The 15,010-nt window shown below is 40.9% G+C and overlaps 1 protein-coding gene across 5 annotated transcripts in view; it reads right to left on the bottom strand.

Moving 5' to 3' along the window:
• The window catches only part of ASAH1 (N-acylsphingosine amidohydrolase 1), a 28,970-nt gene that overhangs the window by 12,487 nt on the left and 1,473 nt on the right, over window positions 1–15,010 (bottom strand). For 3 of the 5 annotated variants that reach the window (NR_199644.1, NM_004315.6, NM_177924.5), the window contains exons 2-4: window positions 7,063–7,109; window positions 2,822–2,912; window positions 1,314–1,400 (exon numbers count right to left, since the gene is read on the bottom strand). Coding sequence is in view for 4 of the 5 variants with exons in the window: in NM_004315.6 (NP_004306.3) it covers window positions 1,314–1,400; window positions 2,822–2,912; window positions 7,063–7,109 (225 nt within the window). In the remaining variant the exon portion in view is untranslated. Of the gene's footprint in view, window positions 1–1,313; window positions 1,401–2,821; window positions 2,913–4,777; window positions 4,799–7,062; window positions 7,110–14,643; window positions 14,719–15,010 lie in introns of those variants that run through there. The other 2 variants (NM_001363743.2, NM_001127505.3) reach the window with 2 other exon arrangements.

Here is a 15,010-nt window from a genome sequence, read left to right on the forward strand (position 1 = left end):
CGTGAGGGATAATGGGTTTGGTGCTTGGCAGGTACAAGTGTCATAGGGAGGATGTGGCCACAGCACTCAGCCGCTAGGGCAATGATTCTCGACCACGGGAGATTTGGTAACATCTAAGGACATTTTTGGTTGTCACAACTGAGGGGGTGTTACCAGCATCCAGTGGGTAAGGGCCAGGGACACTGCTAAACATCCTGCAATGCACATGACAGCCCCACAAAAAAGAGACACCCACCCCAGGCCGGGCATCCTGAGCTGCTAAACATCCTGCAATGCACATGACAGCCCCACAAAAAAGAGACACCCACCCCAGGCCGGGCATCCTGGAATGTAGACAAGCCCACGACAAAGAAATATCCAACCCAGGCCGGGCATGGCGGTTCACACCTACGATCCCAACACTTTGGGAGAACACTTTGGGAGGTTGAGGCGGGAAGATCGCCTGAGCCCAGGAGTTGGGAGACCAGCCTGGGTGACACAGCAAGCCTCCGTCTCTACTAAAAATTCAGAAAAGTAGCTGGGTGTGGCGGCACGTGACTGTAGTCCCAGCTACTCAGGAGGCTGAGGCAGAAGGATCCCTTGAGCCTGGGAGATCAAGGCAGCTGTGAGCTATGATCATGCCAGTGCACTCCAGCCTGGGCTACAGAGTGAGATGAGGTCTCAAAAAAAAAAAAAAAAAAAAAGCTGCCCAACCCCAAATGTCATTAATGCCCAAAATCTGCCATCAAGAGCAATGAGGATCCCTTTAACAGTTCTAGGGGCCAGGCCCTAGGTGTTTCATTGGTTCTGCGTCAACAAAAACGGGGCTGAGAAATGGAGTCTTCCTGCATGATGAGGATGAAAATGAAATGGTTTGGTGATTGCACAGAAACACTCAGCCCAAATGAGTTTCAGGGTCAGAGCTACTGAGGAACTCTACAGAATAAGGGGCCAGGCTGAGTATGTCATTTGCTCATATCTACAAAAAAAAAATCTCTGGATGTCCCTGAGACACTTAAGAAAAAAAACCAAGTCTTCAATAGTGAACTCACTACATAAAGGGAAGGAAATACCACACTCCCAGATGAAATATGGTTATTTGCCCAATGTCGTAATGTAGTCCCATCCCCTTTTACGAAACCATAATTTGCTATGCTGTAACCCTAATATTACCAATTCCCCAAATTTAAGTCCCTCTGAAGTTCTGACAGTGAGCTAGATTCATGCAGATTTGCCCAAGTCCCTGCGAAGAGGTTGCTGAATTATGCCTTTAAATAAATAACAGCGCATTTTCTATGTGCTTAACATTTATTGTGAGAAATAATATCTCTTACCAATTTTTCATCCACCACCTGCATAATTTTTCCACTTGGCACGAATGTATTTATCATATTCTTCAGAGAATTCACTATAACCTTTAGCTGAAAAATAAATAAAATGCTTACTAAAAGACATAATGAAATGCTGTCAAGATTACCTTTTGGCTTACCCATATGTAGCTAAAAGAGAGTGCTATTTGACAATTTATATATATATTTTTTAAAACAGCATCTCGCTCTGTCACCCAGGCTGGAGTGCAGTAGCACCATCTCGGCTCACTGCAATCTCTGCCTCCCAGGTTCAAGCGATTCTCCTGCCTCAGCCTCCCAAGTAGCTGAGATTACAAGTGTGCATCACCATTCCCAGCTAATTTTTGTATTTTTTTTTTTAAGACGGAGTTTTGCTCTTGTCGCCCAGGCCGGAGTGCAATGGCACGATCTCTGCTCACCGCAACCTCTGCCTCCCGGGTTCAAGCGATTCTCTTGCCTCAGCCTCCCAAGTAGCTGGGACTACAGGCATGCACCACCATGCCTGGCTAATTTTTGTATTTTTAGTAGAGACGGGGTTTCACCATCTTGGCCAGGCTGGTCTCGAACTCCTGACCTCGTGATCCACCCGCCTCGGCCTCCCAAAGTGCTGGGATTACAGGCATGAGCCACCGCGCCTGGCCTAATTTTTGTATTTTTAATAGAGACAGGGTTTCACCATGTTGGCCAGGCTGGTCTTGAACTTCTGATCTCAGGTGATCCGCCTGCCTCAGCCTCCCAAAGTACTGGGATTGATTACAGGCATGAGCCACCGTGCCTGGCCTCGATTAATACATTAATACAGTAAGTCTAATTTTATCTTTAAAGTGAATTTGATTCTTAATTATTTACATGAAGGGAGATGACATAAAGGGAAAGAAACAAAGGTAAAGTTTACAAAAAAGAACAAAGGCTACAGAGGAATGACCTCTTTTCCTCTGCTGTCACTTAACGTATAGGGCAGAAAGGTATCAAAAGCACAATTTTAAACTATTCTGTGGGTAATTTCATGAAGTGTTCTTTTAAAAATACAATAATATTTAATAAAGTTAGAAATAAAAGATTTAATATAGAATCTCCACGGTCCTTGGGGGGAAAATAAATAAATAAAATAAGAAATATGGCCGGGCATGGCGGCTCATGCCTATAATCCCAGCACTTTGGGAGGCTGAGGTGGGAGGATCACTCGAGGTCAGGAGTTTGAGATCAGCTTGGACAACATGGCAAAATCTTGTCTCTACTAAAAATACAAAAATTAGCCGGCATGGTGGCAGGTGCCTGTAATTCCAGCTACTCGGGAAGCTGAGGCAGGGAAATTGCTAGAACCCAGGAGGCGGAGGTTGCGGCGAGCTGAGATCGTGCCACTGCATTCCAGCCTGGGTGACAGAGTGAGACTCTGTCTCAAAACAAAAAAAAAATCAATCAATAAATAAAAATAAAGAAATAAAATAAAAAATAAAAATAAAGAAATAAAAGATTTAAGCATCATAGCATACCACTGGTGCCTTGTCAAGCATCAATTCATGCCATCTTTTGTAGGGTGGTAAGTCAAGATTTATGGTGTACCATGGAACTGCACCTCTGTACCTGTAATGAGAGGTGTATCATCTTGAAATGATGAAAGGGTTTTTTGTGAGGGTCAGTTAGATACATCTATAAGAATATATGAGAGGCAAAGTCTTAACAGCAGTGTAGAATTTGGTTACCCAAACCAAAATTTGGAAAGAAAGTTCATTCTCTACCTAGTGCTTCTAGGTTGAGAACACAATCATAAGCGGTCACAGAAATCCTGGAATAGAATGATCTAGTAGGGAAGGTTCATGTGAATTGGTTTTCTATGAAAAAATCAACTATGGCTTAAGAGCTCTAACCTGATTATCACTGACGGGAAATACCTGCCATTTTTTTTTTCTCCTAAATATCTGCAAAGATTTAGTCTGGGCTCTAGACAATTCTCCAATTGGTTTCCAGTTTCAGAATTCTCTCTCAGAGAGTGTAACACTATTGCCAAACCAATGTCTCCAGTGTTGCCTTCAGGAAGATCACCTTTTAAGCCCCAGATGGCAACATGTATTATCTTCCCACGATCAGCTTCAAGAACCTTCATGATTCTGTCAGCCATCCTAATCTTCCCTACTATATACCTCTTCTCTTCTCATTTTCCTGGACAAAGTCCAAGCCCAAGCTGTATTCTGTCATATCCTCCAACTTCCTACTCTTTAACTTACGTGCAGCAATTTCTGAGGATATAGCAACATCCAGTCACTTATCAGTGAAGCTGGGCCATATTTCTGGTGGATGAATTCTACAACTATTTTTGTTGCTATAGGAACATTATTTTCTGGCCCTGGTTACTAAACTGAAATAGCTTTTAAGGGTGTGCCAGTTAGTGGTTTATCAGTATAAACCTATGCCTAAAAATAACCATCATCTGTTCCACTGATCTGCTCCTGAGACTGGCAGGGTGACTCTGGTATGTGCCACAATGATACCAGTCTCCTAAATAGAAATGTTATCTAGACTTATGTCCATAGCTGGGGATGGGTTATTACCTAAGTCATGAACTGTGGTTCTATTTATATTTCCACTATCATAAATAATTACTTGGTTCTCTAAATAATGCTGTGTAACTTGGGGCCCTGGTATATGTATGAGGTTTTATGAAACTGTTAACTAGCAGACATTCAGGTTGTGATTTAGACAGAAAAGTATATTCGATTTTGGAAATGTACATTTAAACAAAATCATAGTGAACGAATTTTGTTCTTCTCAAAGCATTTTCAAGTTCCCCATTTTCTTAGGAGCTGATATCTACATGAAATGCTACAATACTTATATTCTAGAAAAAAACTTTTCATCACAACAAATTAATTCCATTTCTGACAGACCATAATTTCACATGTAAAATTTTGTCCCACAATTCAGTAAGTAATTATTGTTCCCCATATTATGGGCAGGTATTACTAGTCTCCCCTCTCCCTTCAACTGTGCATTTAGATTTCTATGTCTAGTAGCAAAGATAACTCAGTGGCCTGTTGGAGATATGCATCTCATCCCTATGAACTCCAATCAGCTGCTCCTCACCTCATAACATCCAACCAATCCCAAATCATGCCTCTATACCCGCCATAAATTCCTGATTCTTTTTCAGCCTAGAGTCCTGGGTAGGTTCATGGATCTCAGAGACGCGATGAGAGGGGATGAACACAACACAACGGACAATGAAGGGATTACAATGAAGTGGGGATGATGAGACCCCACAAACCTCTCTACCATCAAACCTGCACTAATTAGAATTTGAGAGAACTGGTTAATCTAATAAACCAAATTATTTTAATGACTAAAGCTTAGCCATAATTGCACATTTTACCTCTCGTTAAACAGTTTTCTAAAACATTTCAGTATTTAACTTGTGCGCCTCCATTTCCCCATAAGAATAAAAGAGTATCCACCTTATAACAGCAGGGAAGACACTATATGAAAAATGCAAAAATAAAAAAAACACTTAGCAGCATTGGTATTCAATCAACAGTAGTCATCACAATTTATTTTCCTACTTCACTGCAAACAAGAAATATCATTTCATCATTTTTGAGACTTAGTGTTTGCAATGTCCATGCCATTCATAATATCAGCAACATCACCTGAACCCACATGGCTACCTAGGTGGCATGGAAACTAGTCCAAGTGACACAACACACACATATACAAATAAGAGAGCAAGTGCTAGGCATCCCGTGAGCAGTGGGAAAGAAATGCTGAATGGGACTCAGATGGACTCAGGGGTGATCTGGCTATCAGTTCCTTTATCTTCAGCATTGATTTGACTAGTCATGCTGGCCAAACAGGTTATCTTTTTCTTCCCTCATATCTGCCCATGGATGCTGCCCAAATCTACGCACTTAATTGAAAAGGATGATCTCAAAGGAACAGAACGTCTGTTTGTCATTCAAAGGTACATAAATACCACAGTTATCTCCTAAATCTCAAGATCCATTGATAGAGTTGAGAGAAGAGAAGGATAAGAGCAAAGCCGAGGCTTTTTGTGTAGGAAAGCAGGCTAGTGAGATAAAAAGAAAGCTAGCGAAAAAATGAAGGCAAGGAAAGAAACATACAAGTTATGTCCATGTATACACGTGTATGTGTTTTGGAGTACATATGTATGTATACATGTAGGTATGTATGCACATAGGTAGACACACACTCACATGCACATGGCAATAAGAGTCAGTAAAATGCCTAATCAGGAAAGGTTTATGGTTTGCAGGGCATTCAATTTATAGACACATGTAAAGTGCACCTAAAAGGGAGTAGAAACGGCCTCAAACATGGAAGGCACCTCATTAAATGTTCAATGAATTGGGGCAGTGAGACCAACAGAGAGACATAATCAATCAGTAAGGCAGACATGTCACTGAAGGCCAGAATGATGCCAGTGATGACAGAAAGGAAGACTTTCAGACAGCAGGCCATTGAAGAAAGAGCTGGAATGAACACTGGCCCCAAACAACATCCAAACTGGTTACCTCTAAATTGCTTCCTGCCAAATACTGGCCTCTTTCTACATAAAGGCGAGTAAGTCAAAAGAACTTAGTTTATTACAGTTTCACGCTATCTGGGACAGAGGCTATTTAAAATACATCGTTTAGACAACAACAGTACAACGTAAGTAATTTGGAATGTTGCACGAACTGAAAATGTCATCTTGATATCACTAGATAGAGTTGTACTGTTTCCCCCTACAAACAGCAGGCTACTTTCAGCGAAAGGGCAGTGTAGGAGAAAAAGATCACCACCCCCTATACCTGTTCCTTCTTTTCTCTGTTCTGTACACTCTGAGGGGTCTGTGAGCTGTTATTATGGCTTTCTCACAGGCCCATTTAAACACTGAGGATTTGGAAAGACCAAAATCTAGACTAAAAATATTAATGTTAAACACACTGAATCATGACATTGGTCCTCCTCTTAGGTGTTCCAATCCTGTTTTGTCCTCGACAGCTTTGTTGTGCCAAGGTTTATTTTGAGAACGTTTCACATATGAGGGCCTATGCTTTTTTGTTACAATATAATTTGGTGGTTTATATCCAGGCACCATAGAGAATCACAGGTCATTTCAAATACAGCCCTTACATTTGTCAAAGATGAGAAAAACCCTTCATGGTAGACAGGAGAATTGAGTGGAGAATGAAAATCCTTTCCTTTTTTTTTTTGAGACAGAGTCTCACTCTGTCGCCCAGACTGGAGTGCAGTGGTGCGATCTCGGCTCACTGCAAGCTCCGCCTCCCGGGTTCACGCCATTCTCCTGCCTCAGCCTCCAGAGTAGCTGGGACTACAGGCGCCCGCCACCACGCCTGGCTAATTTTTTGTATTTTTAGTAGAGACGGGGTTTCACTGTTAGCCAGCATGGTCTCGATCTCCTGACCTTATGATTTACCCGCCTCGGCCTCCCAAAGTGCTGGGATTACAGGCGTGAGCCACCGCGTCTGGCTGAAAATCCTTTTCTTTCCGATGATTTTGATAGTCTAGCGACGGGCATTTGAATCGGAAGATATTTTCATATTTGTCCAAGATCTCAGCCAAATGCATAATAAACAAATCTGAGAAACAAACCTCTGTCTCGGAATGGGAAACATGACTTAAGATTTTATTCACTATCGTTCGTTTATGAGCAATTATTACATACAGAAAAAACTTCACAAAGGTCAAAGGGAGTTTTGATCATCTGATGTTTACTCACGTTGGTCCTGAAGGAGGATAGGTTGATTTTCTGCAGTCCTCTGTCCACTGAAAAGCAAAGAAAATTAAGTTTCAGAAAATAACAAATGCTTGCCAACGGAATAAGCAATTTCAAAAGTAGTTAATCTGTGAAGACAACATCAAGTCTGATATTGCTCTTTTATACGTTTCAATGCCTCTTAAAATAAGTCTTTTCTTTCCAAGAAAACTTCTAAAATCCTAAACCATTAAGTGGATTTTCAGTTTCAATTCAATTTGTAAAAGTGCTAGGTGTTATAATTTGGCTCTAATATTTCAAATATATTGAGTAACGAACAAATGTAACAAAGTAGATGGAAAATATTTATGTTAGAGAGGCTGACTTAGCACTAAAAGTAAATGACCTGATAGGATGTATTATCTGCACTTACCAGCCATGTGTGTTGCAACCTGTCCTGGGATTTGCCTCCCAAACCAGATTTTCAGGGCACACAGCACAGGGCCCTTCATCATCTTTCCATGGTAACTTACCATCCCAGCCTCATCTCCTGACACTCCCCTTAGTATTTATAGCCATACGCAGGCACTTCCTATCATCTCTCACCCTTCCATGCCTGTGTCTGTGCTATTCCCTCTTGCTAGAATGCCTTTTCCCCACCTGGTGAACTGCTGGTTCTAACTTCCAAGATTCAGTTCAAGCATTTTCTTTCTTGTGAAGTCTTCATCTATCTTCCATATGAAAATATTCATACCCTCCTTTCCTCCCACAGCATTTGTGCACACTCTCATCAACATGTTTATGACACTGCTTTATAATCATCTGTTTGCGTTCCTTGTCAATACCAGACTCTGCGCTCCTTGAGGTGAGGACGGCCCCCAACACTGACGTCACTGCCTGAGACAAGGAATGAACAGACTCTTTTAGGGGAAGTTGTCCAAGCTTAGTGGCAAAATGGAACCTTCTCCTAAACTTATCAAAAAAAGTCCACACAGATTTATGATTCTTTTGTTACTCATTCAACATATCAAGTGTCTTTATCTCCTTTCCTCTGGAGAACCAGTTCTGTGAAAGTAAAATAATTGTTTTAAAAAAGTACAAATCCAAAATAAGATAAAGTAGAGTAGGTAAGAAAACTCTTGGAACTGTAGCTTGAGCTCAGAAAACTCTTGGAACTGTAGCTTGAGCTCAGAAAACTCCTGGAACTGTAGCTTGAGCTCAGAAAACTCCTGGAACTGTAGCTTGAGCACAGAAAATGTATCTGCTGGACAGCTGTGTAAGAATGGAGGTCTAGCACCTTGTTTTAACTTTTGATAACATGGGGAATATATAAAGTAGGTTGACATTACCTGTGATTCAAACATTAGCTGTCAAATTTGCCTTACCACACTGTAAGTTTCTCACATATGTCTGGCTTTGTCTGGTAATTTTGCGTTGAATTCATTAAGAAACAATATCAAGTCTGTAGCAAAAGCTAATTTCCAAAGCCATTCGTGTTCAGTAATAGTGGCTGGGGGCAGCTCGTTTAGAAAAACTTCAGTCTCAACTGTGAACTCAAAGACTGCAAAACTTTACAGCTAGCAAGCTATCTAATGGCTCTGTCACAAGAGACATCAGGATATCCGGCCTCTATTTCTGATAATTCACAGAAATGATGACGGTTATATCCACAAGAGCAAATGAAGCTCATGGTTTATATTGCCGGTTCAATAACACATGTGAGATTCCAATATTTTCCACAAAATATCTGAAAAGGAATACTATAATAAATAACCATGAGCTTTAAACACCTCGCATGTTCACAAGTTTTGTGAATTTGCTCAACTCCGCCTTTTTCTACTCACAAATATTTTTACTACTGTCAATTTTTATAGATCTTAGCAGATTCCATTCCAGGTTATACTCAATCATTATTTTCTCAGCTTCTTCGAAAACATCCTCGCCTGTAGTTGTTTTATACAGATGATTCAGAGGCTAACTCTTCAGTCACTTCAAACTTGGCAATGATCATCTAATAAATATCAACAACTGATCAGTTATCGGTATGTTGACAGTCAAGAAAAATCACTCAAAAATCACATGCTTTGTTCTTTAATTGATATTGATGTTCTTCCCAAAGTCCAGGACAAGGGTTCTCAATGACATGTAAAATAATTTCATTTTCCCTGGACACAATACTTCTGCTACTACAATCGAATACAATTTAGGTAATCCACCATTGGTAAATGGCTTTCCTTATTTTGCTAATAAATGAGCTACTTAGAGACTTATAGGGGTTGCAACTTAATTTTACTTTGTAAAATTTGTAAATAAGTTCTGCTGTGAGGAGATACTCCGCTTTACATTTTCTTGTTTATCTGACCATTGTTTTCCTATGAGTTGGGAATACTGTGATGGGTACTTAACCCAAGTGCTTAATTTTATGATCATGTTGTGGACTTAAGACCCTGCTCCATTAGTGACTTGTAGAAAGTTACACAGCTGGTGACAGAATCAGAGTCAATGGCTTTCCCTGTTCTATCAAACAGCTTCCCACAGAGATAATAAAACCAATGCCTCAATTTAATTCCTAACAGAATAATCTGCGCGTAGTTCAGGGCTTCTGGTGATCACTAGAATCAACTCGGCAAATTAAGTGAAACGTAATGACTCCTATCCCTTCCTAATAATGACATTTGCACGCCCTGGGTTCCAAAGCCAAAATAAACATCAAATTACAGGCACATTTCTTACTAGACAACTGTGAGCAAAGTTGAAAATGCTCTGTCTAGTATTAGGAGAGAATGTGACCTGCCCCAGAGGTAAGAACTAAAGAGCAAGCTAGCAACAATACATGTGGAGTGAGTCTGAGGTTGATAACGACTCTTGGTAGCAATAAACAAACGTGAAATTGGCATAGAACCTGGCTGCAAGGAAATAGGATAAGTGTGACAGAAAATAAGAAAGTTGGCAGCTATGAGACTACAGTATTTCAGGGGCTCACATGGCATGAACGCCTAAGTCGTTTATGCAAAAAGGTTAGTTTTAGGGGTAGGGTGGAAAAAAGAGCTACTTCCTCCCCCTCAAAAAAGAATTCTACAGGGAGACACAGCTTCAAAACCCACGAGTAGCCCTAAAACAGAATTATAATGAACTTACTTAATGTTATTTAAAGTTCCTTACTATCCCCAAGTTTATAAACAGTTTAATAACAGACAACTCTATTAAGGCAGGTAAAAACTTAAATAGATGATAGGTAAAGATTAGAAACAGATGATAAGAAGAGAGATTATGTGGTCTGGATGGTATACTATGTACACCCTATCACAGGAAACAAAATCCAACTTAGAATCAATTCTCTCTAACCCTCTCCCCACAGTACCTCTCTTTCTCTCTCTCTCCCTGCCCTTCCCTACCTTTCTCCCTGCCCCTCAGTGGTCTCCTAAGAGTGAAGATAAGTGGTAAAAATCTGATATTTCAATGCATTTGAAACTCTCTGGGCCAGGCATGGTGGCTCATGCCTGTAATTCCAGCACCTTGGGAGGCTGAGGTGGGTGGATCACCTGAGGTCAGGACTTCAAGACCAGCCTGGCCAACATGGCGAAATCCCCGTTACTACTAACAATGCAAAAATTAGCTGGGTGGCATGTGCCTGTAATCCTAGGTACTCGGAAGGCTGAGGTAGGAGAATTGCCTGAAGCCGGGAGGTGGAAGTTGCAGTGAGACGAGATAGTGTGACTGCACTCCAGCCTGGGAGACAGAGCAAGACTCCATCTCAGAAAAAAAAAAAAAACAAAAAACTCTCTGGAAAGTGCTTTTAAAAGACTGTTTGGGTCAGAAAATTCTCTAATTTTTCTGGTTATTTGATAGAAACTTAAGCCTCTTTGAATGTCCTCCCCATTCATTAAGAGAAATTAATTACAGAGCTACTGAACACAACATTCTAAAAAAAACACAAAAATATAAAGAGAACATTAAGGTCTCAATGAAAGCGCCATACCCTTAAAAAATGGCATAACTTGTACAGCTCCTTAAAATATTTGAGCCCGAAAGAATTAGGAGACCCTCAATGAAATAATGTATGCTTCTAATAGTGAATTTTAAAAGTCCAGAAAGCCCTTGTGTGCTTGTCTTATTGAAATACTCAGAAAGAGACAATGAAGGATAATCTAAAATTACATACCTCATGTCAGTTTTCATACCCACCAGAAGCCAAACAACTCTAGCCAGACAATTTTTCATTCATTCAATTCTTGAATTCATCAACAACTATTTTGCAGACAAGTTTTTCCTATAATGTCCTCTTATGTACAACTCAGCAGAAACACTGAATACAAAGAGGCATGTTTCCTACGTGTACAAGAATTCACATGAGCTTGAAAATGTTTTCACTTGTCTTCTGGGCTTTGATGGGATGGCATCCTATTAAGCTACTGATATTTAGGTCAAAGGAATGTGAATAAACCCTCCATGAGAGGAAGGACCTCATCTATCTCATTGGCTGACGCATTCCCAGCGTTTAGGAGTCTGGCACATAGTAGGCAAGCAGTATTTGTTGAATAAGTGAATGGATTACACCTGTGTGTTCCCTCTTTGGGAGAAGTAGGGAAAAGCAGATGAAGTGCAATAAATTCCTAGGCCAGATGGGGTCTATGAGATTTCTGGCAACTGCGTGAAAATCATTGCTAAAGCTGATTCAATAGCTAATGTCAACAATGTTGACATACGCTGTTAACTAGTATGAGAAGCTGATGCATAAAAATGAGTTTACAAGTTTACTTTGGCAATTAATTACTAAGCCATTACGTTTCATCTTCGCACATCTTATGAAGTGGGTCAGATTTATTACGCAGAGCAGCCATCTCTCCCCTCTAGTTCCTTTCCTGCCAATCACACTTAGCCTACCGCAAGCTGTTTTCTGCCCCCAACACTGCTCCAGTCGAGGTGACCAATGACCTCCAGTTGCCCAACATCATAATACCACTGACATCTCAATAATATTCAACATAGTTAACCTGTCCCAGTCTCTTCCCTGAGCTTCCTGTTCCACTTACTCTCCTATTTTTTTGTTTTTGTTTTCTGTGACGAAGTTTCGCTCATTGTCCAGGCTGGAGTGCAATGGCAGGATCTTGGCTCACTGCAACCTCTCCCTCCCAGGTTCAAGCAATTCTCCCGCCTCAGCCTCCTGAGTAGCTGGGACTACAGGCGTGAGCCACTATGCCCAGCTAATTTTTGTATTTTTAGTAGAGACAGGGTTTCTCCATGTTGGCCAGGCTAGTCTCAAACTCCTGACCTCACGTGATCTGCCCACCTTGGCCTCCCAAAGTGCTGGGATTACAGGCATGAGCCACCGCGCCCGGCCTGTCCTGTTTTAACTTTGGCAATTTCTCCTCTTCTTGACACATACATGTGCAAGTTACTTAGCCTTTGCCTAGTTCTCTTTTCTTCTCTTTCTCTATCCTATTTCTAGGTAAGTTCATCTGCTCCAAGGGCTTCAAATATAATATCATTATGCCAGTGACTCTCAGTGTCTCTCTTCTGAGTGCCAGTCCGAGTGGCCTGCTGGATGCCTCTCTGCCACCTGAAATTTAACATACACCCCAAATGAAAACGATCCTCATTCTTTAGCCCCCAAGCTTTCCCCTCCCCATGTTTCCTGGAACGGATGCCACCATTCGCCCAGCGAAGCACTTCAGCAATGTGCAGGTCACGCTGACACCTCACTCCCTCATCCTCACCCAACGATTCCTTCAGCTCATTCGCCCTCCTGATTTTTTTCTAGAACATCTACTTCTCTCCCTCACCCCTGGCGCCACCATCCTTCAACGCACCCTGTTTTCTTTTCTGGACTAGTCTCCTCATATCTACCCTTGCTGACCTCCAATCCAGACTCATCTTTTTAAAGTGAAAATGTTATCTTGTCTAAAACCATCTAATGGCCTCCCATTGGCTGGTTCCAGATCCTCCCATTTTTTAGGATAAATTTCTGAATCCTTAATAAGAGTCTACAGAACCCTGGATGATGTCATCTGGCGCTATCTCTCCAGACATTTCTTGTGCCACTGTCTTCACCATCATCTCTTAATAGACTCCTAAAAAATTCAATAATGAAGAATAACTCAGGAGGACCTTCACATAGGAATATTGTGAAAAGCCTCAAAAACAAACACACAAAAAATCCTTACAGATGTTCTAAATCAAATGACTTGTTTCCAATTTAAAGCTGCTTCTCATTATTCATATTTATTGAAAGTACTTTTGAAATATCTTTTGTTACCATGAGGCTATAGTTTATCATATAATGACTCCAGTTGAAAAACTGCTTATTCTTCTCAGAGAATGAAGTCACTAAACTTCTGTAAGGTTCTAAAGGTCCTTCAGTGCATGGATCCCAGGATTTTCCAGGCCAGTAAAAAAAAATTAATGAGGCCTTGGCACAGGAGGGTCCAAATTTTTATTCTGCCAAATGGAGATGTTAAAACAAAACAAATTCCATGCACATAACATCTACCTCTGCCGTTATTTTTAAGAACACGTTTGCAACAATGAAAACTTGAAGTCCATACAATCAGAGTAAAGATTAACATTCTAAATTAATAATTTTAGTTTTGCATTCTTATTTTTCCAGTTTCATTGAAAACCTGTGAAAACAGCTTCCCAAAGTGACACCAGTGGCCAGACTAGACTTTGATAATCGCTGTTCTAGATAAGAACTATTATATCCATTGAGAGGTTGTTAATTCTTCTTCTGAAAATAGCTATCAAAATACTTTTGCTAGAATAAATAAAGCTATTGAGAAAGAAGAAAAAACAGCCTCCAACACCTGAAACTGCTCTGAGTCCCACAGCTATCTCTCAATATTATTACAAGCCGATCTGACACTCACAGCCAGGTAAGCTCTGTTTTCCTCCTGGACATCAACAATCCCACAGATACCTACGTCGGATAAGATTATTCTGAGACATGACACACCAAGACAAAGCAATGCCACTTGAAGATTTTCTCTAAGAACAGACAAAAACAAGGGCACCTGCAACGCACAAAACACCAAACATCCCCTTCTCGTGCTAAACAGAATGGCTGTTCCTTCTTTACTCAGTCAGAATTGCCCCACCTTCTAACAGCATTCTATCTACAGCAAAGCCCGGTTCCTCAGTCTTACCCCAAATCATGCAACCGAAGTTCAAATTCTGTAATGGGTTTTTTTCTATAACCTACCGTCCGTCGCTCATGGTGTGTGGTCTCCTTTGCCTCAAAGAACACTAAACCCAATTTGTTCAGCTTATGGTGTGTTCCTGGTGGTCTTTCAATGAAGGGCCCTGACAGTATCAAAGTATCAAAGTCTCTCCCAATTCCCATAAAACCAACTACCGTCAAGCAAATTAATTCCCTACCCACAATGGAGCAATTTTATTTTAAGGCCTTTAATCGTGTCCACATACATGTTCTGTGTATTTTCCTATTACAGGAAAAACTGTATATACTATTCTGGATTCTACTTTTATCTGCTGAACATTATATCAATTTTAATGGCTAAATCATATCCCACCATGATTTTAAAGAATTTCTCCTTACAGGTATAAAAGAAGACAATGCACATCTTGCTTCCACTTTCAATAACCTACCTAAACTATTCAAGACCATCACCATCTAGCCTCAGGCCAGATGCGCCAGGTTCCTACTTATCCGATTCTGTTGGCAAAGACAAACGCAGTCTGATTGCTTTATAAAGAAATGAATTATGAAAGAGTACTGGGCGTCAAGAGGCTCGGACGTTACGCATGTTCAGTAAACAACAGTGTAACCTCTGGCTAAATATTTTCTCACTCTAGGTCTACTTCCTCTTCTGTAAAATGAAAGAGTCACGCTCGTCCCTCACTGTCTCTTGCAGTTAGGAAGTCCGTAGCCCTGTGACTTGCTCGTGGGAAAGAGCCACGGGACAGGCGATCCCATGACTTGGGTGCAAAAGGCCACAGGGGGCCCTTTGGGGCC

The sequence above is a fragment of the Homo sapiens genome, chromosome 8, assembly GCF_000001405.40.
Source record: "Homo sapiens chromosome 8, GRCh38.p14 Primary Assembly".
Lineage (NCBI taxonomy): Eukaryota > Metazoa > Chordata > Mammalia > Primates > Hominidae > Homo > Homo sapiens.